Source organism: Homo sapiens, chromosome 1, assembly GCF_000001405.40.
Source record: "Homo sapiens chromosome 1, GRCh38.p14 Primary Assembly".
Taxonomy (NCBI): Eukaryota; Metazoa; Chordata; class Mammalia; order Primates; family Hominidae; genus Homo; species Homo sapiens.
In genome coordinates, this window is record NC_000001.11 from 230,306,402 (window position 1) to 230,328,260 (window position 21,859).

General features: G+C 50.2%; 1 protein-coding gene and 1 pseudogene across 1 annotated transcript in view, besides 3 other annotated features; both read right to left on the reverse strand.

The window, feature by feature from the left end:
- LOC124904587 (putative uncharacterized protein FLJ46204) lies at positions 8,089 to 10,335 on the reverse strand (annotated as a pseudogene).
- PGBD5 (piggyBac transposable element derived 5) overlaps positions 8,089 to 21,859 on the reverse strand; it is a 111,843-nt gene continuing 98,072 nt past the window's right edge. The window contains exons 6-7 of the mRNA NM_001258311.2: positions 18,909 to 19,014; positions 8,089 to 17,219 (exon numbers count right to left, since the gene is read on the reverse strand). Coding sequence (NP_001245240.1) covers positions 17,024 to 17,219; positions 18,909 to 19,014 — 302 coding nt within the window. The 3' untranslated portion in view covers positions 8,089 to 17,023. The remainder of the gene's footprint in view (positions 17,220 to 18,908; positions 19,015 to 21,859) is intronic.
- Positions 10,280 to 10,781: an enhancer, noted in NCBI's record as "H3K4me1 hESC enhancer chr1:230452427-230452928 (GRCh37/hg19 assembly coordinates)". NCBI's record gives its function as "activates a minimal SCP1, AML or CMV promoter by ChIP-STARR-seq in naive H9 embryonic stem cells {active_cell/tissue: H9 hESC(naive)}" and the evidence as "EXISTENCE:reporter gene assay evidence [ECO:0000049][PMID:30033119]".
- Positions 10,782 to 11,281: an enhancer, noted in NCBI's record as "H3K4me1 hESC enhancer chr1:230452929-230453428 (GRCh37/hg19 assembly coordinates)". NCBI's record gives its function as "activates a minimal SCP1, AML or CMV promoter by ChIP-STARR-seq in naive H9 embryonic stem cells {active_cell/tissue: H9 hESC(naive)}" and the evidence as "EXISTENCE:reporter gene assay evidence [ECO:0000049][PMID:30033119]".
- Positions 21,409 to 21,528: an enhancer, noted in NCBI's record as "active region_2718". NCBI's record gives its function as "activates an Ori minimal core promoter by ATAC-STARR-seq in GM12878 lymphoblastoid cells {active_cell/tissue: GM12878}" and the evidence as "EXISTENCE:reporter gene assay evidence [ECO:0000049][PMID:35858748]".

A 21,859-nucleotide genomic window follows, 5' to 3' on the forward strand; every position in this document is an offset into this window, starting at 1 on the left:
GTGGAGGAGGGAAGGAAGACATGTGAAGGTCAATTTCATCATTTTATGAAAAGCATGAATACTAACGAGAATTTCTTATGATGACATGTCCAAGTATCTTTTGCTATTTTTTTTTTTTTTTTTTTGAGATGGAGTCTTGCTCTGTCACCCAGGCTGGAGTGCAGTGGCATGATCTCGCTCACTGCAAGCTCTGCCTCCCAGGTTTACACCATTCTCCTGCCTCAGCCTCCCCAGTAGCTGGGACTACAGGCGCCTGCCACCATGCCCGGCTAATTTTTTGTATTTTTAGTAGAGATGGGGTTTCGCCATGTTAGCCAGGATGGTCTCAATCTCCTGACCTCGTGATCCGCCCGCCTCGGCCCCCAAAGTGCTGGGATTACAGACGTGAGCCACTGTGCCTGGCCTTGGTAATTTAAAAAAAAACAAAAAACAAAACAAAACAAAAAAACAGGTTGTGCCAACAGCAAAATGGGAAAGGCAAGGATGTTTATTGACAGTCATCTACAATGACGGGAGTTTCACTCGTTGGTATCACGGGGACGACATCAAAAGCATCTGTAAGTAGAGTTGATACAGCCTTCCAAGGGTGTATCCCCAAACCTCACCTCTAGCCCAACGTGAAGCATCACAAACAAGTCAATGCTTTTACAGTAAACATCCCTTAGTTTACTGAGAAAGAAAAATTTAAAGTCTGGGGCAAGGACACTTAAGCTTAAACAGTTGCAGGTTGATGGAACCTTTGTAACTGATGAAATCTATGGACTTCTTGCCAGAAAGAAAAAGAAAGTCACATATACATACACAAAACAATATTTTCCTTACAAGTGGAGCCCTGAATTCCTGCCCTACAGAAGAAATAATGATTTTCCTGCCCATGAGGCCCTTCAGCACTGGGGCTTAATCCACTTTTTTGACTCGTATCCAACTACTCCCCCCACCACCCAACCCCATTCATTCATTGGCTCCCTCCCAACACCTTAGCTCACTCCCTGTCTATGTCGAAGGCCTTCCCTCCCTCCACTTTCCTGGCTGGCTCAGCTTCCCTCAAGTCCTAGTTGTCTTCTGGTCACCCCCCTGGAACTCACCGCAGCACACTCTAGCCAATCATTTCTGCCTCTGCCTGGGTCTTACTGGTCACGGCATGCTGGCATTCAGGAAATAGTTAAAGCTGCTTCTTCCTTGAATGACTAACCAGGTGAATGAAAATGAATGACAGCAAGCAACTAATTGTCATTAAACAGTTAATAGAAGAAAGTTCATCTATGTTACCTTTGGGGATAGTTTTAAATAAGAGAGGCTTAGAGAGTGAAAGCAGAGAGGATCTAAGGTTGGGGCAGTGGTGGTAAGTGTCTCTTTTGGGTAGAGAGGATGCTCAGGGTCCTTCAGATCCCATCAGGGGAAGCAGTGCCTGCTGCCTGGGGTTCCTTCCAGCAGGCACTTGATCACAATGTCAATCAAGTCTACTGTCTGCAGGAGCAAAGGAAGAATCCATTATTTGTAACTCACCCCTCCTGTGGGAGCCAATCCTCAGATAATGCAGAAGCCCTGAGGGGTCCCTCTATCTGGGCTGCTATTTCTTGGCAAGATTCACCTGGACCATTCTGGAAAGAATGCTGTTTGCCCTCGTACCAAAAAAACATTCAGAAAGAAAGATGCACCATCCTCCCTGCAAAGTCCTCTTGGGCTAACCACCCTGGGGCCTGTTCCTCGCTCTGTCTGCCTGGCGTTTAGACCTGTGCAAAGGCAGAAGAACCTTGTGATTTACTTGCAAGAGCCAAGCAGTGACTGGAGGAGTCTAACATCCTGCTCAGTGGCCAGCTGCCAGGTGGCCAGCAGCCAGGTCGTGTTTCCTGATGTCCACTCCCTATTGTGGTACAGTCTTAGTCATCACACCTAGTCAAAGCCTTCTGGTCTGACTTGGAGGCAGTGCCTCCTGGATAATCACTCGGACGCAGACAGTCAGCTTTGGGCCCGCTGGGTGTGCTGTACCCCTCTCCCGAATATCTAGCGAATTCTCAGCTCCTACTCTTGAACCAGGAGATTTGCAGGCATTAGTGAATCACTAAGTAGCAAGTGTTCCTTATTACCAAAAGGAAGGATGGACCCTCCACAAAGAGGGGCAGCTGGTGGCACACACAGATTTAAGAGGAGAGGGATTTCTTAAGGTTTAAGTGATCTTGAACCCTGCAGGGCTAGGGGTGGGGAGGCGGGAGGAAGGAGGGATCCAGGACTGGCTCCCGAAATCTACTCTGCACCTCCCAGCAATCCCAGGCCCTAGAGGAGGTGCTTTCAGTGAGGACTCTAGTACCTGGGTACTCCAGTTCCTGATGTCTCACAAGGACCCTGGGAAGAAAGCTAGGCAGGTATTCTTAGGCCCACTGTATAGCAGGGGAAATGAGGCCCAGAAAGGCTGTTGACTCCTTTAGGGTGCAGAGCATGTGCGGTGAGGCTGAACCTGAACTCAGGGCTACAGATGCAGTCTTGAGCGTGCCACCTGCACGCCCAGGTCGTCCAGGTATCAAAAGGCAAGTGCGAAACCCTCGGGGCACCACGAAACACTGGGAGTCAGCACTGTGGCTTGACAAGGCCCCAGGCCGCCTGTGCTCCGTGCCCCATGGTTTCTTGGGCATGGCCAGAGTCACCAGAAGCGGTGCGGGTCCTCGGAGAGCCCTGCAGCCCCCAGCCCGGCTTTGCTTCTCGCCATCTCACAGCAGTCTGTGGGTGCCGCCAGTCTCCCGCACATGCCACCACATTGGCCAAGGAAAGGCTCGCAAGTGAGACATGAATTCCCCAATTAAGCTTGCTGGAATTGTGCCCCAAAATAAAGAAATTAATTAAAGTCTTTTTGCCAGCATCAACTGGGCCGGAGGTGGGCTTGGACGCCCCATCTTGGAGCTCACGCCTCCTTCTGAGAGCGCATCCTTAGCTCCCTGGCATCTTGTGCATTGGAGGCAATAAAGGTCCAAGGCAGGGAAGACCTCAGAAGCTTGGGTGGCTCCACTGTGTCCCTGCTGCCTGTTGGTGACCCACAGCGTCCTATGGGTCAGGGGAAGGCTAAGCTGTCCCGGGTCAGGAGGCACAACCTCCTTACCACCTTGACTGTGTCCCTGCAAGTTAACCAATGACACAGAACAATCCAGATGTTTGTTGGGTGTAGTGGCGGGAAGAGCCATTTGCTCCTAGATATTTTCCAAAAGAGAGACGAGTCACGTGGTCTGGGAGACGGTGTGATGCTGAGGAAACATGGGAGTTTTGGGTTCAAATACTTCTGGGTTCAAATCCTGACCGTCCTTTACTTAGGGAGGCGTGAGCGTGTTTGAGCGTCACTATTCTCATTTGTAAAATGGAGAGGAAGGCATAAGGGGTGAGAGACAGGGCTGCCCAGAAACCTTGCTCTAGGCCAGAGGTCCTCAACCTAGGCCTCGGGTGGAACCCAGGCACCCGCAGTGATTCCAACATAGAACAGCTGTGGACCAGACTGTGGTGGGTCCTCGGAGTCACCTGGCAGTCCCTCTTGTCAGACCTTGCTCCAATCTGGCCTCTCAGGGAGCGTGGCTACACCAGCCTGCTGCTCCCCACTCCCCGACACTCCCCAAATCCTGCTCTATGTTTTCCTTTTCCGTAACACTCGGTGTCCTTTAAAAGATTCTGCTGAGGCCGGGTGTGGTGGCATACGCCTATAATCCTAGCACTTTGGGAGGCCAAGGCGGGTGGATCACCTGAAGTCAGGAATTCGAGACCAGCTTGGTGAACATGGTGAAACCCTGTCTCTACTAAATATACAAAAATTAGCCAGGCGTGGTGGCACGTGCCTGTAATCCCAGCTACTCAGGAAGCTGAGGCAGGAGAATCCAGGAAGCTGAGGCAGGAGAATCACTTGAACCCGGGAGGTGGAGGTTGCAGTAAGTCGATATCGCGCCATTGCACTCCACCTGGGGGGACAAGAGCGAAACTGTCTTGAAAAAAAAAAAGATTCTGTGACCCTTTTTGTGTTTATGGTGCTCTCTCCTCCTGTGGAACGTAAGCTCCATGAAGGCAGGGGCCTCTGTGTTGGTGACTGTCCCCAGAAGTGCCCGGCCCCTAACAAGTACTGGTAAACACTGGCTGGAAGCCGAAATGTGGAATCAGCAAGCCCCTTTTCCATTCCTGTCCCCATCACTTTACGGTGCTATAGTCTCCATGACTTTGCTTATTGTTCTCTCCCCTTGCTCTGGACCAGCAGAGACCTCGTCTGTCTTATTTAGGGCAGTGTCCACAGTGCCTGGAACACTGTCCACTCCAAACTCCGAAGGCATTTGTTGAACGAATGCGCTATTGTGTGCAGGGGACGGAGGCTCATAAGGTGTCCTCTGCTGCCCTCTGCTGGGCAGCCATGGGAAAGGCTTCATCTCAAAGAAGGTGGACAGTCCGAAAAGGGGGAGGGTGAAAATTTGGTTTGGGAGCAGGTTGTTAATTACATATTTTTCGTTTTAACTCTGTTAAAATCAGACAAATCTGCCTACACCTTCCCACTCTCCTAGGCCCTTCTTCATTCCATCCATGCCAGGACAACAATCCTGGATTTTTATTTTTATTTTTTTTAATTAAGATAATTTTTAATTGATATCTAATAGATGTACATATAGTTTCAGGGCATCCTGGATTTTGAAGTATTCCATCCTGTTAACTCCATGAACACACTTATTCTCGCAGGCACTGGCTCTCCTTTTTGGGGTTGGACTCCCCTCTCCTGGTCTCTCGACGTTTGCTTTGCTGGAGGGTGAGTGTGAACAGAGCCGCTACCAGCATTGGGCCTCACTCAGGCCGCATAAGGTCAGACTGCTGCTAAGGGTTGGGGCGACTCAGGGAAGGACAGCTCTCCATCTTTTTCTAGTTCCTGGGACTGAGGAGAGTGTGAGAGGGGGACAGAGAGGGTGAATCAGCCACAGCCTAACTGGGAAATGCTTGGCACAGAAAAATCTCGTGTCCAGTTACCTTTGGCTTCTTCGGGATCGAGAGCCTCCTCCCTCCAGACTGGTTACTGTTCCTTTAGGCAGGTTTCTTTTTTAATTTTTAAGTTTTAGAGGCAGGGTCTCACTGTGTCTTATCTAGGCTGGAGTGCAGTGGCGTGACCATAGCTCACTGCAGCCTCGACTACCTGGGCTAAAGTGATCCTCTTGCTCCAGCCTCCCCAGGAATTGGAACCAGAAATTTTTAATGTGTATAGACTTCACATTCTCTTGCCTGGTACTGTCAGGGTGGTTTAACCTGGGCAGAATTTTCAGACTCATGTCTATTGGCCCAAGATCCTCCCAGTGACAAATCCCTGAGCTTTTTGGCTCTAAATCAGCTAGTGTCACGTGGGTTTGTTCCAAAAAACGAGTCTACTCATTCTGTAGAATAACATCCACACCTGACCTCTCTCTGGCCATGTCAGTCTCCCATAGCAATTACTTTTAAAATATTCTGCCCCAGAGACAGAACATGATTCATGTATCCCCATTTGTGGTTGGGAAAATACGGGCTTCATTCCTTGATTAATTTTTACATACTATTATCACTCTGGCCACATGAGATATTGCGTTTGTGTCTCTCCCACTATTTGACAGCCCTTGATGGCAAAGACTGTCCTTGCTTATACCCTTAGTGTTTAGCATAGTGCCTACTGATTTGGAAGAGCTCAATTAAAGTGTTTTGAATGAATGACTTAGTCCACTTGCCCTGTACTATTCTTCTGCTCAAACTAGAACATGTTTGTCTTTTTTTGTGTGTATTCCTGTGCATGTCCCCAAAGGCCCACAGCCCTGGGAGATGGTTCTGTTTTTTTGTTTGTTTGTTTTTGTTGTTGTTGTTATTGTTTCAAACAAACAGCGTCTTGTTTGGGCTAAAGTGATCCTGGGCTAAAGTGATCCTTCAGCCCAAGCTGAAGTGCAGTGGTGCAATCAGTGCTCACTGCAGCCTTGAATTTCTGGGCTTGAGCGATCCTCTGCCTCAGCCTCCCAAGTAACTGGGACTGCAGGCTGCAGGTGCATGCCACCATGCCCAGCTAATTTTTTTTTTTTTTTTTTTTTTGGAGACGAAGTCTTGCTCTGTCACCCAGGCTGGAGTGCAATGGCGCTATCTCGGCTCACTGCAACCTTTACGTCCCGGCTGCAAGTGATTCTCCTGCCTCAGCCTCCCTAGTAGCTGGGATTACAGGCGTGTGCCACCAAGCCCAGCTAATTTTTGTATTTTTAGTAGAGACAGGGTTTTGCCATGTTGGCCACGTTGGTCTTGAACTCCTGACCTCAAGCAATCCACCCACCTCAGACTCCCAAAGTGCTGGGATTACAGGTGTGAGCCACAGCACCCAGCCCAGCTAAATTTTTAAATTCTATTTCTCAGAGACAGGGTCTCACTATGTTTCCCAGGTTGGTTTGGAACTCCTGGCCCCATGTGATCCTCTTGCCTTGGCTTCCCAAAGTGCTGGGATTATAGGCATGAGCTACTGCGCCCCAGCACCACTGGGAGATGTGATCAGCATTCAGTCAATGTGGCAGGGAAGGCTGGGCCCTGGGATCAGTAAACTAAATCCCATTATCCTATTCATCTATAAACGGTCTTTTGAATCCTCCTTGTTGGAGTTTTTCCTCGTTATGGATGTCTCTACCCTCAAAATGTCTTGGATACAAAAGGTTATGTCCTCACCCTACTACCGTTGAGAGGGGAAGGTCCCTGTGCACCGTGGGAACCCTGAGGCTGGAGAACCTGTATGCCAGGTGATGGGCTAGGGGACGGGCATCCAGAGGGGGACATCTGGGGACATGGATTATCTGTGCTCAGCAAAGGAATGTGGGGGAGGGGAAGAGGAGAAGGGAAGAAGAGAGGGAGGAAGAGGAGGGAGGGAGAAAGAGAAGGAATAGATATTTGTAAAGGACAGAGTCAGAGGCCATGAAATGTGGAAAAGAAAATGAGGGGAAATCATATAAAAGATAGTGGTAAAGGGAAGGCTCTGATTTTATAAAATAAATCATTACATCAGGGATAAACACAACAAAAGTAAAGGTAAATTTAGTGCTTACTAAAGGGTCTGCAAAGATTTGAAATCGTTAACATTTTAAGAGTGTTTGAAAATTATTTTTGGCTTGTAGAAAAACAAGGCATGTTTGTTATAATGTGCTGTAAAAACACTTGAATTCCTATGTTAGATGGAGAAGCACAAGCTTCTCAAAATCTTCTCTGTTTTGTAGATATGGGGTCTCACTATGTTGCCCAGGCTGGTCTCAAGCTCCTGGCCTCAAGCGGTCCTCCTGCCTTGGCCTCCTAAACTGCTGGGATTGCAGCTGTGAGCCACTGTGCTCAGCCCTCAAAATCATTTGTGATTAAAAAAAAAAACAACCTTGGAAAGTGGGATCCGTCATCTCATTTTATACAGAGATTTTCTACGGTAAGAAAAACAATGTCCACATTGTGACTGTCAGGATAACGCTGCTAAAGCCAATATCGTGCCCTTTTTGTTTTCGTTTTGAACTGCAATCATGAAAGCATCTGACTGGGTGGTATTTGCTGGCAGAGCTGGGGACATGGTGATCGTCCACAGTCACGAGCGGGCAGTTGCAGCTCTCCTGGGGTCCTTGGCATTCTGCACACACCAGTGCTCTTGAACATTGCTTCCTCCTGTTCCAGCTTCTGACAAGAGCGCTCACCCCAGATTCTGGAACCTTTTGAGGAGTGCGAGGAGAATGGTGGAGGCCCTTAGGGCTGTGGTAATAACAGCAGCCAATACAGGCTGCAGCTACAGGCTGCAGAATCCAGTCTGACGGTGGAGGGAAGATGGAAGGGGAGACGAGGAAGACCGCTTTGGGGATCCCCTTGACTTTTCCCAGGATCGGGGGCAGGGTTGAGGAAGCTAAGGTGTTAGCACAGGCCTGAACCCCCTGAAGACCCCCCTGCCCTGTCATTCCCTCTTCATCTTCCAGAGAGCCCGGCGGTGGGTTTCTCAGGCCTGGCCGACCTCCCTTGCTATTCATTTCCAGCAACAGACCCCATCATACTTTCATGAGCGTCCTGTCCTGTATCCTCCCTCCCTCATCAGCCACCCACAAAGAAAAACCACCAGAGAGAAGCAAACAGATGTATTTGACTGTATTTCAAAGGCAGTGACTGTAAACAAACTTGGTTGAAGAAATAAGAACCACATGACAAAATGCTTGAATTAAATCTTTTTTTTTTTTTTTTTTTTTTTTGCCACATTTCACATTTGAGAACCCAGAATTCAGCTCCTGTTATACAAAATTTGTAAAAATTTATTGCCTTGGCGTAAAGTGACAATCATGCCTTGGCGTAAAGTGAAAATCTTCACAGAAGGGTATGCTTTGTGTCACCAAATGGGGGTGCAGCTGTGTGATATCTGTGCAGTTTGTGATAAAATTAAAAATTTTCTGTGAAAGATTCTTAACTGGAAATTGGAAGGGAAAACAAGAAGAAACAATGTAATGTAGCAGTGGAAACAAAATTCTCACAATGAATAGCAGTCTTTCCAGCTTCTTTGACACGGATTTCCTCATCATCAATGGCGGCTCTCCTGAACTAGGGATGAGTGTGAATCTCCATTTGAGGAAGGGGAAGAAGAGCTTGGAGGGTGACAGCCTCCCCCTGAGAGAGCCAGTTGTGTTCATGATTTTGGTTCCTTCTTCCTCCTAATTAAGCATCTGCCCAGGAGCCCAGGAGCCAGGGCTTAGCTTCCTGGCTATTTTCAACTCTTCTTAGTGAAGACCAGCATTGCCAGCCCACTGACCCCAGTAGGGTCACCCCTGCCCACTGAGAACCAGCCACCCCCTCACCCCCCACCAGAGTTCCCTGAAGGAACCAGCTGCCTCTAGTGGGAGACAGAGTAAAGGCAGAGGGGCCCCTCCTTTCTCAGGTGCCCTGTGCTAGTGTTGGGCAGCTCTAAGGTTGGAAACTGCTTTCCCCACTGAGCTGAAGGCTGCCTCCTGGGATATGCACCCGGCGGTCCCCATTCAGCCCCGGGAGCCACTCGGATCAAGTCTGGCTGTATCCCGAGGGCGACCAGGACAGCCCTGTGAGCAGCAGTTCCCCTCCTGGAACACTGCTTCACCAGCCCATCACCCCAGCCCTGTGGACTGCTCCTCCCTCACCTGGTTTCTACGTGGACCCACCATTCTTGCCCTCCTGGACCCCTAAACTGGCCCATGTGTTTAGTTGTAGAATGGGGGCCAGGACTGGACATGTGGTTTGATTGCTAAGGACCTAGCAGAGGCTCATCATGTGGTAGACTCTGTATTTTATCGTGTGTGTATGTGTGTGTATATTTACACACACATACACACAAGATAGATATATATATTAAGTGGACACTGTATGTGTATATATACACATACATATATTATAGATGTATGCATATATGTATATATGTATACATATATGTATATGTGCATACATATAGAGGTATACATATAGATGCATATCTGTATACATGTGTATATATATACATATATGGATACATACATATTTATGTGTACACATATATGTATATGTGTATATGTGTACACATATATGTATGTGTATACATACATAAGTATATGTGTACACATATATGTATGTGTATACATACATAAGTATATGTGTACACATATATGTATGTGTATACATACATAAGTATATGTGTACACATATATGTATGTGTATACATACATGTTTATGTGTATACATACATATGTTTATGTGTACACATATATCTATGTGTATACATACATATGTATATGTGTACACATATATGTATGTGTATACATACATACGTACACATGTGCATGTGTATACATACATATGTACACATGTGTATATGTGTATACGTACATATGTGTATATATGTATTAAGTGGACATTGTACTTCTGATGTGGATACGGTGATGAAGCTACAAAGTCACACTATCCTATGGCCTTGTGTTTAGATGGAGCAAAGCAACTAAAAATTGCCTCAACAATCCTGCAACTCCAGATCTTCAATTTACACTGAACACCGTACGCAATTGTTCTGGGCCCATCTTTCCAATCTATTGAAATAATAGGGACTGCATCCCCTGCTTCCATCCCCTGTTCATTCCTTCCGTGGTCTACCCACTGGGAGGGAGCGCTCAAGGGGGAAACTAGAAGTTTTAAAAAGACAGGAAAGTCTAGAGAAAGAACTAGTCAAAAAGTGAAAAATCCTCATCTGCCCAATTATTGTTTTTTTTTCCTACCACGACTCTTGCCAAAATTTGGCTGTTTCTTAGTGGAGAAAGGTGGGACATGAGAATTGGGCTGGGAACAAGGAACCCTCACATGGATCGTCAGGCTGGAGGAGTAGGTGGGCACCATACTTCCTTGGAGAAAACAGAAGCAAGCATAAGACACTGTGGAAATGAAAGGAATAAACTTATTCATGTTTAAGAGCTAGAGCCTTCCTTTTGGCTTGGGCATGACCTCTCGGATAGCTGGGAACACCGTCCCTGCTCATGTTTGGGGCGTGCTCCCCAGATACACACACGCATACCTGGCTCTCAGGGCAAGTTGCAGGTTGGCAAGTCCTGGTCAAATGCAGTGTGACTGCAGCCTCTTGAGGAGGCTCAGACTCTTGTGTTTGCAGGGATGTGCTAAGCCAGGTGCATGTGATGCCTGCCAAGCAAGGTGGAGGGTCTGGGGGTTGCTGAGTCCAGCAGCAATGGTGACTGCCACCTCCCCCACACGGGGTCTCGGCCTCTGGCTGGAGCCTTCTTTCGGCGGAGAATCAGCCTGCTCTGTGCCCCCAACGTGTTTCAGTCATGGCACCCTCAAGGGCACAGACCACGTTGGGGTAACACGTGCCCAGTTCTTAGCACAATGCCTGGCCTGTAGCAGTTCAGAAGCAGCAGTGGCTGAGAACCAGGAAGCCCTGGAGCAGACAGAGTGAGGGTCAACCTGGCTCCACACCCTGTAGAGTCACCACGGCTCTCAGAGTGTCACTTTCCCATCACAAAAGGGGGACCGATGGTTGTCAGCTCCCAGGGCAATGCTGAGGACTCAGCAAAGGAACCATACAGGGAGACGTGACCTGCTGGAACAGAAATGCTCCATGTGCATTAACTGTCACTCTTTAGTCCAGCGAGGCTTGGGTGAAGACGGCAGAAGAATGAATCAAAGACTAGCGAGACGCACCAAGAACAGAGGTGCGCTGCCGGGGGCTGACCCTTGGGGAGGGGAGGGCCGAGGCTGATTTATCTGGCGGGCTCAGCCTCACCCTTCACTCCTCACTGAATTTCCTTGGCCATAAAGTGCCCCTTCCACCTGAGGGAGCCAGGAGGCTTGACACGTGAGGGAAGCCGCACACACTCCTCCATCGTCTTCCTAGGTCTTTCACACAAGCCGATGTCCTCCCCGCCCTTTCTGTTTTCATCTCCAAATACATGCACACAAGGTCAAGCTTCCAGGCAACTAAGGAAAAAACCTGAAGAATAGTATCTGCTTGTAGAGTAGCTAGTGACATGGAGCGCACAATCAAGTCTCCCGCAGGAGTCTCCTCATTACGACCGTGTATACATGGGTATACACGGAAGGGTGAAGGTGCCCCACCCTCCCCGGAACACAGTTCACACAGAGCTGCCACCAGCGCCAGCACCACCGCCCTACACTCAAGAGAGGCTGCCCGGCCCCCACCAGACAGGGGTCAGAGCTAGGAGAATGTGCCTGGGCTGCTGGAGAACTGGGGTGCGCACTGGGCACCCCAGGGAGGGAGGGACACAGAGATGGCTAAATGGCAGCGAGCTGCGTGGCCAGAGGGCATGCTTACTCTCTGGTGCTATTTTATGGCAACAGCTCTAAGTGCCACTTTGGTACCTGATACTCTTTATTTCTTATTGGGAGAGAATAACATACCTGCAAAGAAGGCTGAGAAATATTCTCGAAGATGAGACACACAGAAGCCACGGAGAAAAAGGGATTAAGTGATGGAGTCAAAAGTGAGAAGCCTCAGTCATGTTCCTGATAAGAACGGAAGGTATTTGGGCAGACAGCCAAGCCCGCATTGACTGACACAGGGCCGTAACAGGAGAGATTTCTTCACAGACAGAACTGTTTTCCAAAGCAAGCTGCAGAGGCCACCGGTGGGGAGGGGGCACTGGGGACACTTTCCCTGGCCACTACCTTGTGAACTTCTGGGGACTTCTTTCGTTTGGAACTCCCACTACACAAGGCTAAGGCTTTCCACAGCCAAAGCTTGGCAAGCCCTCGCTTAAGGAAGAGGGACCAGAACCACAAAGCTGGCATGTGGGTGAAGACGGCGCCTCTGGCCTAGATCCCAGGGCACTCTGATGAGACCCCACAGCTGGCTCCACTCCCCCACCCCATCCCACTCTCCCCATACTGTGAGCTGGGGCCATCTGGGTGAGGAAATCGCTATGGTTCTTTCTGGCTCAGGGTCTGGTGTGGCCAAGGGCTTGCCCTGTCCAAATGCCCCCCAGAATAGTGGCTCCCTACCAGGCTAACTTCAGCTTCAGTAGTTGTTAAGCTCCAAAACACCCATCTCCATCTAGGACAAGAAAAGGACCCAGGGGGAGGGTGATGTCCCGGATCTCATAATGATTGTTTTCAGTATTCGGATCAGCAGAGAGGATTGGATATGGAAAGGAGAAAATCCCCCACAAAGTTGTCAGGTAAGTCAGGGATAAAATCCCCCGTCCTCGTGATGAATCAGGACAGCCAGTGCCCACAGCAGTTAGGACGCGGCCTCCTGCGTCAGGCAAACCCGGGTCTGCTTACCTGGGCGAACCATTGCACCACTCCATCTGGGCGTGGTGACAGTCCATGCCTAACCCACAGGGATCCCTGTGAGGAGTAAGGCTCTGGGGCAGAAGGGCCACCCCAAGCCGCCTGGAAGTGTGCCTGCCTGTTAGCCACCGCTGTCATACCTTTCAAACACAGCACCTGCGAGGATGCAGGAGACAGATCTGGGAGGTACCACACCCAAGGTCACCTTTCTCCCCCATCAGTGTCGTTGACTTGTTCTCGCCCCAATCCCAGGCAAGTGGGGAAATGTTTTTTTTTTGCCATGAATGCAGACTGGAGGAGAATGTGTGAGGCTTGCGTAGTTGCAAGGCCCCATGGCCCTCCCGGGTTTGCCCTGCTTCCTCTCAGCCTGATGCTTGGTGACCCCCCCTCACTGTTGGGGGGGCTGAGCCTGGGTCCCTGGGGAGGATGGTGACACACGGGCCACACAGGAAGGATTCAGAACCTTCCAGGCTCTGTCCTGGGGACCTGCAATCTTCTTGCTTCTTGCACGCAGCAGAGTTAACTCAATTTTGGTGACCAAGCCTCATCTGATTTAGTCAGTACTGGATGTGTTTGCTCAGAATGACCCAGCCACCAAGACTTTTCCATATGACTTGCCTGACTTTTGAAAGATGTCCCTAGTATAATGTCCCATGGACCACGGGAAGACGTTGTTCAAACTCGAGGCTTTTTTTTTTTTTTTTTTTTTGTGGCGGGGTGGGGGTTGGAGTCTCGCTCTGTCACCCAGGCTGGAGTGCAGTGGTGCGATCTTGGCTCACTGCAGCCTCTGCTTCCCGGATTCAAGATATTCTCCTGCTTAGCCTCCCGAGTAGCTGGGACTACAGGTGTCCACCACCACACCCAGCTAATTTTTGTATTTTTAGTAGAGATGGGGTTTCACCATATTGGCCAGGCTGGTCTCAATCTCCTGGCCTTGTGATCCGCCTGCCTCGGCCTCCCAAAGTGCTGGGATTACAGGTGTGAGCCACCGCACCTGGCCAAAATCGAGGCTCTTTAGGGAGCAGAGTGTGGGGAAAGACAATGAAAGTCGAATATGGAACCTGATCAAGTAGGCACCAAACAGAAACAGACATTCACTCAATGAAGTTAAATTTGCCTAAGAAGGACCTCACGGGACGCTCAACACAACTGCAGTAATGGGAAGGTCTCATAAACTCCGTGAAGCTCAGTGCAGGTTCAATTCCCTGTGAGTTGCAGGGAAATGCAGATTCTCTTTGGAGAAGCTTGGAAGTTTTTGTGGGTGTTTTGTTTTGCATAAGGCTGGGAAGCTCATTGCTCCATCTTTTTTTTCCAGAGCCTGCAGCAGAGACATCCCTCAGGGGATCGGCTTGGCTTAGTGGCTGGATCTGAGTGGAATGGGCTCTCACTTGCCATGTGTGCAGTGGTGCTTGCCAGCCCCATATACTCAGCCAGGGCCATGCTGGCTCCCTCTGTCATAAGACCACTTACGATGCTCTTTCCTCATCCCCAGGGATGGCCAGCTACTCCAAAGCCAATCAAGAATCAACCTGAGGGCTGTTGAACCCAGGGAGATACTGGAACCAGATGCACTTCAACTAGAGTCACTCCAAAAAGCCACTTTGAATCACATCTCTAAGGCAAGGTCCAGGTCCCTGGAGGTTCTGTCAGTCCGTCCTACATGCTATTCTGTCCTTCTGGATGGAGAAGAGAAACTCTTCTCAGTCAACAGCATTCCTCCAGAGACCTGAAGTGGCCACTGAAGCCTCCCCTAGACCCGGCTCAACAGCTGCCTTTTCCCATCATGTATCAGACAACAGGTGGCTGCCATTTTAGAAACAGAGTGTTACAATGTTACAATTATTCTCTCATGACTGGGGAATGCAGCCACCCACTGCCTGTCAGAACAGCACCTCTTCCTGCTCATCTGGAATGACACACGACACAAACTAGAAGAAAAGAGGGAAAACCACCAGGCCGGAAGGCAGGCCTGCTAGTGTCTTCAATGAAACAGGCACCTCAAATACAACTGCACTCATACAACTGCAACATCAAGAGGTATTTCTATTAGCCAAACTCAAAAACATTTCTTTTTTAAACTGCTCAGTGGTTTGAGACACCAAGAACAGTTAATATCATACACACCAGATTATATAACAAAAAAAATCAAGTATTTAAAAGAGTAGCCTGTATTTTTGTTCCTTCACCTTGTTTTTTTTCTTGATACAGGGTCTGGCTCTGTCACCCAGGCTGGAGTGCAGTGGCTCAAGAGATCCTCCCACCTCAGCCTCCCAAGTAGCTGGGACTGCAGGCATGTGCCACCACACCTAATTCTTGTATTTTTTGTAGAAATGGGCTTTCGCCATGTTGCCAATGCTGGTCTCAAACTCCTGGACTCAAGCGATCCGCCCGCTTCAGCCTCCAAAAGTGCTGGGATTACAGGCATGAGCCACCGCACCCCGCCTGTTCCCTGACCTTTTAAACGAATTCACGTATTAACGGAGAATCAACATCTAAATAGACTTTTATTTTTATTTTACTTGTTTGGACAGAAAAGAAAATTCATCAGCTTTCATTAGAGTCTCCTTAAGTGTTGGAAACACATTAAACTCAGAAATAGTGGACCTTGTAGAAAAGCATCACAAATTAAAAATATATTTCTCCATGTGGTAAAAGTGCTTTCAATCCCATTAAAGGGCACAGCAAGGGTGTTTGGAAACACGATCTGAAATTTGGCCTGCAATCCGTGGCATCGATTCCAACCACAGGGCGGGGGAGTCACCATGATCTAGAGCACAGGAGCCACGTGGGGCCCGGAGCATGCGGACAGCAACACTCGCAATAACTGAGTGAGGACGAGGCCCATAGCCTGAGTAGAATAGATTCTGTATTTGTAAAAAATGAGGTGGTTACATCAACTGGGTTGAAGGGGGACTGGGTAATCCCAGAAATTCCTTGTTTCTGGTCTGTGGGGATGGTCAGATCTGCCCACCACTCTGGCACCGAGGCTTCCCTGGAGACGCATAAACCTGGGTTGGGAAAGTGCCCAGATCTGCCTGGGGGACACACGAGCCTCGCTGCCAGTGCCGGGCACGCAGCCTCTCCAGTCCTGCCGTCAGCAACCGCCTCCGGCCCTCATGTCAAATCACACCTGACCAGAGTTGTCACCACAGTCCTGTTTTGGGGTTTTTCCAAGGCCAGCCCTGTTGTTCTGAGGGGCCACTCTGAGCAGGCAAACACTGCCAGGGTCACTCACTACACACAGAGGAAAGACAATGAGCAAATGGCCATCGTAGAGAATTCGGTTGTGTGTTTCAGCAATGCTACTTATTTTTCAAGACAAGTAATTCTGCCAATGATGACATCTGCGACAAAGCTTAGGGCCCGCGGGCTCCCCATGCGCCTCGTGGAGAGCAACCACGTCTGTTCGGAAGCCAGCGGCCCTTCCCGGCCCTGCCACAGGCCAGAACACAGAACTGTGATCATGCAAAGAGCCGTGACTGAGGCCGGGGTCAGCGTCGGGGGTGGAGAGGAGGGGACATCTGCCTTTTACATTAGATCTGAAGCAACAGTAAGAAAATAACCTGAAGATATATTTAAAAATAAAAAATAGCATCATCCTTCACTCCAAGTTTTTGGCATTTCCCTCTCTCCCCTGCCCACCAGCTAAGCAGAGGGAATGAGCAGGAATGCCTCGTTTTTCAGAATGGGCACCCACTCCCCATTTCACCACTGTACACCCAGGATGTGTGTCTTCTTCTAAGAGACCGGTTCAAAGGTGCTGGCATGAGGCAAATGCTGGAAAACCCTCCGGCCTCCCCTGACACCTGAGCCATTGTAACCATGCAGGGCGTCTTTGCTTCCTTCAAGTCTTGAACTTGAACCACGTCCCAGATTGCTGTAGATCTTTAGGAAGCAGGCATCTCTCTTAGAGCGTGCTCCAGCTCATTCTACCACGGGGGCCTTCCTTCACAGTCACCAGTCCACGCTGCCTCGCAAGCTCCACGGATGTCATGAGAGAATCTGCCCTTGAGAACGTGGGTGTAAGTGCTCATCACACCGGCGGCACTGTTTCTCGAGGGAGGACATGCTCTTCTTGGAATGCAAATGAGGACAGCAACCGTCCTCTGACCAGGTCCATCCTGTCCCTCCAGAGGCCCTGTGCATCCCTCCCAGGCAGCAAGCCACACACCAGGCCGTGTCCGGGTCTCTGATGGGCAAGTTGGAACGGCAGGCTCTCCTCCTCCTCTTGCCCCTCCCTTGACCGAGTCCTGCGCCCCCAGCATCAGTGGGTCGGAGAGGCATCCTCCAAGCCCAGCAGCTCTCTGACGAGTCTCTCTCCAAACTGCGCCCGGCTGTACCTCTTCACGTGGTAGGCGTCTGACATTTTGTACAGGATGTAGGCATTGTTGATGGCGATGCTGATGGCGAACCAGAACACCTGCTGCCAGGTCTTGTTTGGTTTATGAGAAATGAAATACCTGAGGACAGAGGGAATAAGAACGGCTGACCCGATGGTTCATGGCACCCGGAGATGCATCCCAAAGGCCCCCCCTCACCACAGCCCGTGAGACGCTGCAGGTTCGCCCCCGACAGAAGCAGGAGGGCTATGGGGGCAGGAGTCAGGCTTGGGATGTTAGGTGAGTTCCAGCTGGGGGTTTTGTCACAGTGAACTTCATTTAAGACCAAGGAAATGAAAACAACAAGGTTGCTGGAGTAGACCCTGAAAGCCAGGTGCCAGGTGTGCTGGGGTGGCGCACAGCCCCGGAGTGGACAGGCGCCTGCCAGCCTCTCCAGCTTCCCTGCTTGCTGAATGCTCCTTGCAAAGCTGTGCTCTGTACGTGCTGTGCAGCTGACACTCCCCCAAGGCCAAGCTCTTCCTCAGCTCCAGGCCCCTGCAGGGCATTCCCCTGCTCCCGAATGTACCTTTGCCATCCCCACCATCCCTGCAGATGAAGGCACACAGGTCACCCCTCCGGGAAGCCCACCCAGACCCTGAGAACACTGGCCTTCTTGGGAGCACTAGCCTCAGGCCTCACTCACTGCACTGTCTTCTCCATTTGTGAGTTTGCCTCTGCACCCTGTATAAAGTATGGGAGGATCGGTATCCTCAATATCTCACTATGTCTGAAATGCCCAGCACAGAGCAGGCACGACAGACATCTACCCCACAAATGCCAGCTGCTTTAGAACAACCTCATAGAACACAGCAAGGTGCCAGTACATAGTAGGTGCTCAGTGAACTGAATGCCAATGTCTTTGTAACAACCTCATGGAATTTAGTAAGGTGCTGAGCACATAGTGGGCGTTCAACAAAGACTTGTTCAATGAATCCCCAAGGAGTGGGACTACCTTTCACACACAGGCTGAGTTTTCCAGAGAGAACCAGGTCCTTGTTTTTCCCTCTTTATCATGAAAAAGGCCAGGAAGTACAGGTTACCCTCAAAGAAGGTTCAGTCAATATCTGATTTTGAGTTAGCCCAACCCTGTTCTAAGTGGTAAGGCTCAATCCCAGTAATTTAATAGTTTCAATGTTCAATAGTCGTCATTTTTTGAGTTCCCATCATGGTGGCTATAATGGCACGAGGTCAGGGGTGGCATCGTGGGTGTCTGGACGTCCGCACATTGTGGATCTTGTCTATGCTGTGTGTAAACTATGCATACTATGTGTATATTGAACATGAGACCACATCTGGTGATCTAAATAGGCATCCATATTTGAGAAAATTAAGGCACCCGTGCTAGAACACATGTGACTTGGGGTAGAAGTGCCCGAGCTGATGCCCAGTGTGTTAGGGGTGTGGGGAAGGAGGACAGCAATTCAGAATAGAGGACTGGGGCAAGCGATGCCAACGGCTGGAGTTTGAGCTCACTGCTGAGGGACAGTTCAGTTCAGTAAGCAAAGGAAAGGGTGCCTCTGGGCACAGGGAATGTGAACCCAGCATTGGGAGAGTGGAGGACACAGAGTACCTGGGCAGAGGACTTCTAGGTAAAGCCATGTGTGCACAGGCGAGGCCCAGAAGCCCAGGCTGAGGGCAGGATCTTACCTCCCAGGGTCTTCATCCTGCAGTTCTTACACTGGGGAAACTAGTGATCATCTGCCATTACATCTCTTCCGAGACGGCACAACTATGAGAGCCCTTCTGTCATGGAGGTGCCCAGCCACTTACTTGCTGTATTTGTCATCGTATCTGCAGATGTAGCTCAGGTGAGCGGCAAACGCCTCCACGGCCAAGGGGCATGGGATCTCCCCACTCTTCCTTTTGATGATGACTCCTGAAGGCGAGAGACAAGATAAGCCCCTTCCTCAGCACCTCCTCCTAATGCCACTTTATAAATGTGCCTATCTTCGTCCAGCTTAGCTGCTCCCAACTTAATAATGAGCAGAGGAGGAGGAGGGGAGGGAAGAGTTGAAGAAGAACAATCAGCACCAACCACCAGGTGCTTCAGAGGGATTGAGGAAAGCATCAGTCAGGTGAGTGCCATGGTATGCGCTGGCCCAGACACAGCACCCCAAGTCATGGGGTTTACAGGCCTCTAGGATCCTGGCAGGCCTGAAGGGGCTCTAAGCAGCATGGGGAAGGGTGCTGCATCCGACTGGGCCTTGAAAGAGTGAAAGCGGAGACAGGGCTCACTCCTCCCTCCCTCCCCCTTCTGCCAGGCTGGGTGAGGGATGCTAGGAAGAAGAGGTGGTGGCTGAGGTCAGACAGCACCATGGAGCCCTTTCCACCTGCCTTCATCAAAGCCAAGGGGTGTCGGCAACTCGTCACCCCACACAGGGTGACTGCAGAGTCACCCCGCACAGAGCACTAGACCTCACTCCTCCCATCTAGGCTGTGGTTTTGCATCCTTTAATAAATCCCCCGATAAGTGTGTGAGATGATGGATATGCTAATTACCCTGATCTGATCTCCATACATTATATGTAGCAGAACATCACTATGTGCCCCGTGAAAATGTGTAATTATTGTTTGTCAATTTAAAAAAGCAAAAGGAGGCTGCGCACGGTGGCTCACGCCTGTAACCCCAGCACTTTGGGAGGCCAAGGCGGGGGGATCACCTGAGGTCAGTAGTTTGAGATTAGCCTGGCCAACATGGCAAAACCCCATCTCTACTAAAAATACAAAAGTTAGCTGGGCACGGTGGCAGGCGCCTGTAATTCCAGCTACTCAGGAGCCTGAGGCAGGAGAATCACTTGAAACTGGGAGGCCGAGGTTGCGGTTTGCTGAGATCGCTGCCATTGTATTCCAGCCTGGGTGACAAGAGCGAAACTCCATCTCAAAATGAAATAAAAAATAAAAAAGCAAAAGGGTGGAATTATTATCATTATTTTTTTAGATATGAGGTCTTGCTCTGTCACTCAGGCTGAAGTGCAGTGTCATGATCATAGCTCACTGCAGCCTAAAATTCCTGGGCTCAAGGGATACTCCCACCTCAGCCACCCAAGGAGCTGGGATCACAGGTACATGCCACCATGCCCAGCTAATTAAAACAATTTTTTAAAACAGAGACTCACCATGTTGCCTAGGTCTCACCATGTTGCCTAGGCTGGTCTCAAACTCCTGGCCTTATGTGATCCTCTACCTGGGCCTCCCAAAACTCTGGGATTACATGTGCGAGCCTCCACGCGCAGCCAAAAGGAATTAGAGGCTCAGAAGAAGGAGGAGGTTGTCCTTTTCAACCCTCCCATCCCCCAGCTCCGTCCTTTCATGCCTCCTCGAACTTTGGGGGCCCTACACCCTCAAACACCTTTTCCTCTACTAAGTACAACTGGGAATGCATCCCAGGGGCACCGCAAAGGTCATGGCAAGATGAACAAATCCTACCAGCAGGGCCTGAGAAGCACACGGAGACCCATGAGCCCTCCTTGCCCCGCTGCCAAGCCACTGCTGGTCATTCTGGCTTCCCAGGCCTGCCCTATGCGCCACCCACCGCAGACAACACGGAAGATGAGACGGACGCCTTCTTCCTAACAGCCGCGGCCATTCGAGAGTGGCTGGAGTTGACCTACTGTTTCCTTGAACTGGCCTTCCCTCACAGCAGCAAGGGACTATGGGCACAGTGCCATTTTTCTGTATTTTTTTTTTTAAGGCATTGGCTCACAGGATTGTGAAATTTCAGCAATACTTAAATGGACAAGGTCAAAGTCAAACGGGCATGTCCTTTGCAGGTCCACAGGAGCTTCATCTGGGGCCAGCCCCCTCCCACCCCCACAACTCTCACTGAGGGACCGTGGCTGAGGAGACCAGGGTCGCGCAGATCTGCTTACATACACTGAGCCGGACTCTTTCCTTCTTTCCTCAGAAACAGCAGCATTTCGCATGGAAGAAACACTGGCCAGCTTGTGGGAAATTGAGCTGCCAAGGCCTGCCCTAGAGACGCAGGACCGGGGAAGGGGCCCTGGCAATGAGTTTCCTAAAGCTATCCAAGGGCCAGAAAACCATGGCGGCCCCCACACTGGAGCTTCCTCCTGGCCGGAAGACTATGGCCTCCTTCACTTGCTTATGGAGCCCCTCCTCCTGAGAGATGTTCTGCTGTCGGGAGCCTGCAGAGGGGGCGTTCTCCAGGGCTCAGCGCACCAGGCGCCAGGGAGGGCGTGCGGGCCTGCAGTGCCCAAGGACTGCCGTCTCTCTCCAACGCCCCTCCTGAGGATTCCTGTCCCCGGCCCCTTATCTCAGCTGCCTCTGCCTCCAAGACCGAGTAGGAGTAACCCCTTGTCACACTTGGGGCCACAGCATGTGGCCCGTGCAGGTCTCCCATCTCCAGCTATGTTTTGATTTGCCTGACCTCCAATGACAACCTTCTCTGGGTCACAGGAGGCTCTGGCCTCTGTAGGGTTCCACTTGGATGTGAGCAGGTGAGACCATCCCTATAAAGAAATGCAAATCCCCTTAGTTCTTTTCCCGGAACTCAGGATGCCCCGCTCTGAGTCATTAGTGTCTCCGGTGAGTCATGGCCGCTCTCCGAAGATCTCGGGGTTTCCCATAGACCCGTCCCCATAGCCACCGACCTTGCAGCTTTTCACCTCCTGATTTCAGCCCAATAAGAGCAGAGGCTCCTGGACTGTCACTGTCCCAATCTACCTCACCACGGGACATGGGAGACCTTCTTTAACTCTTCA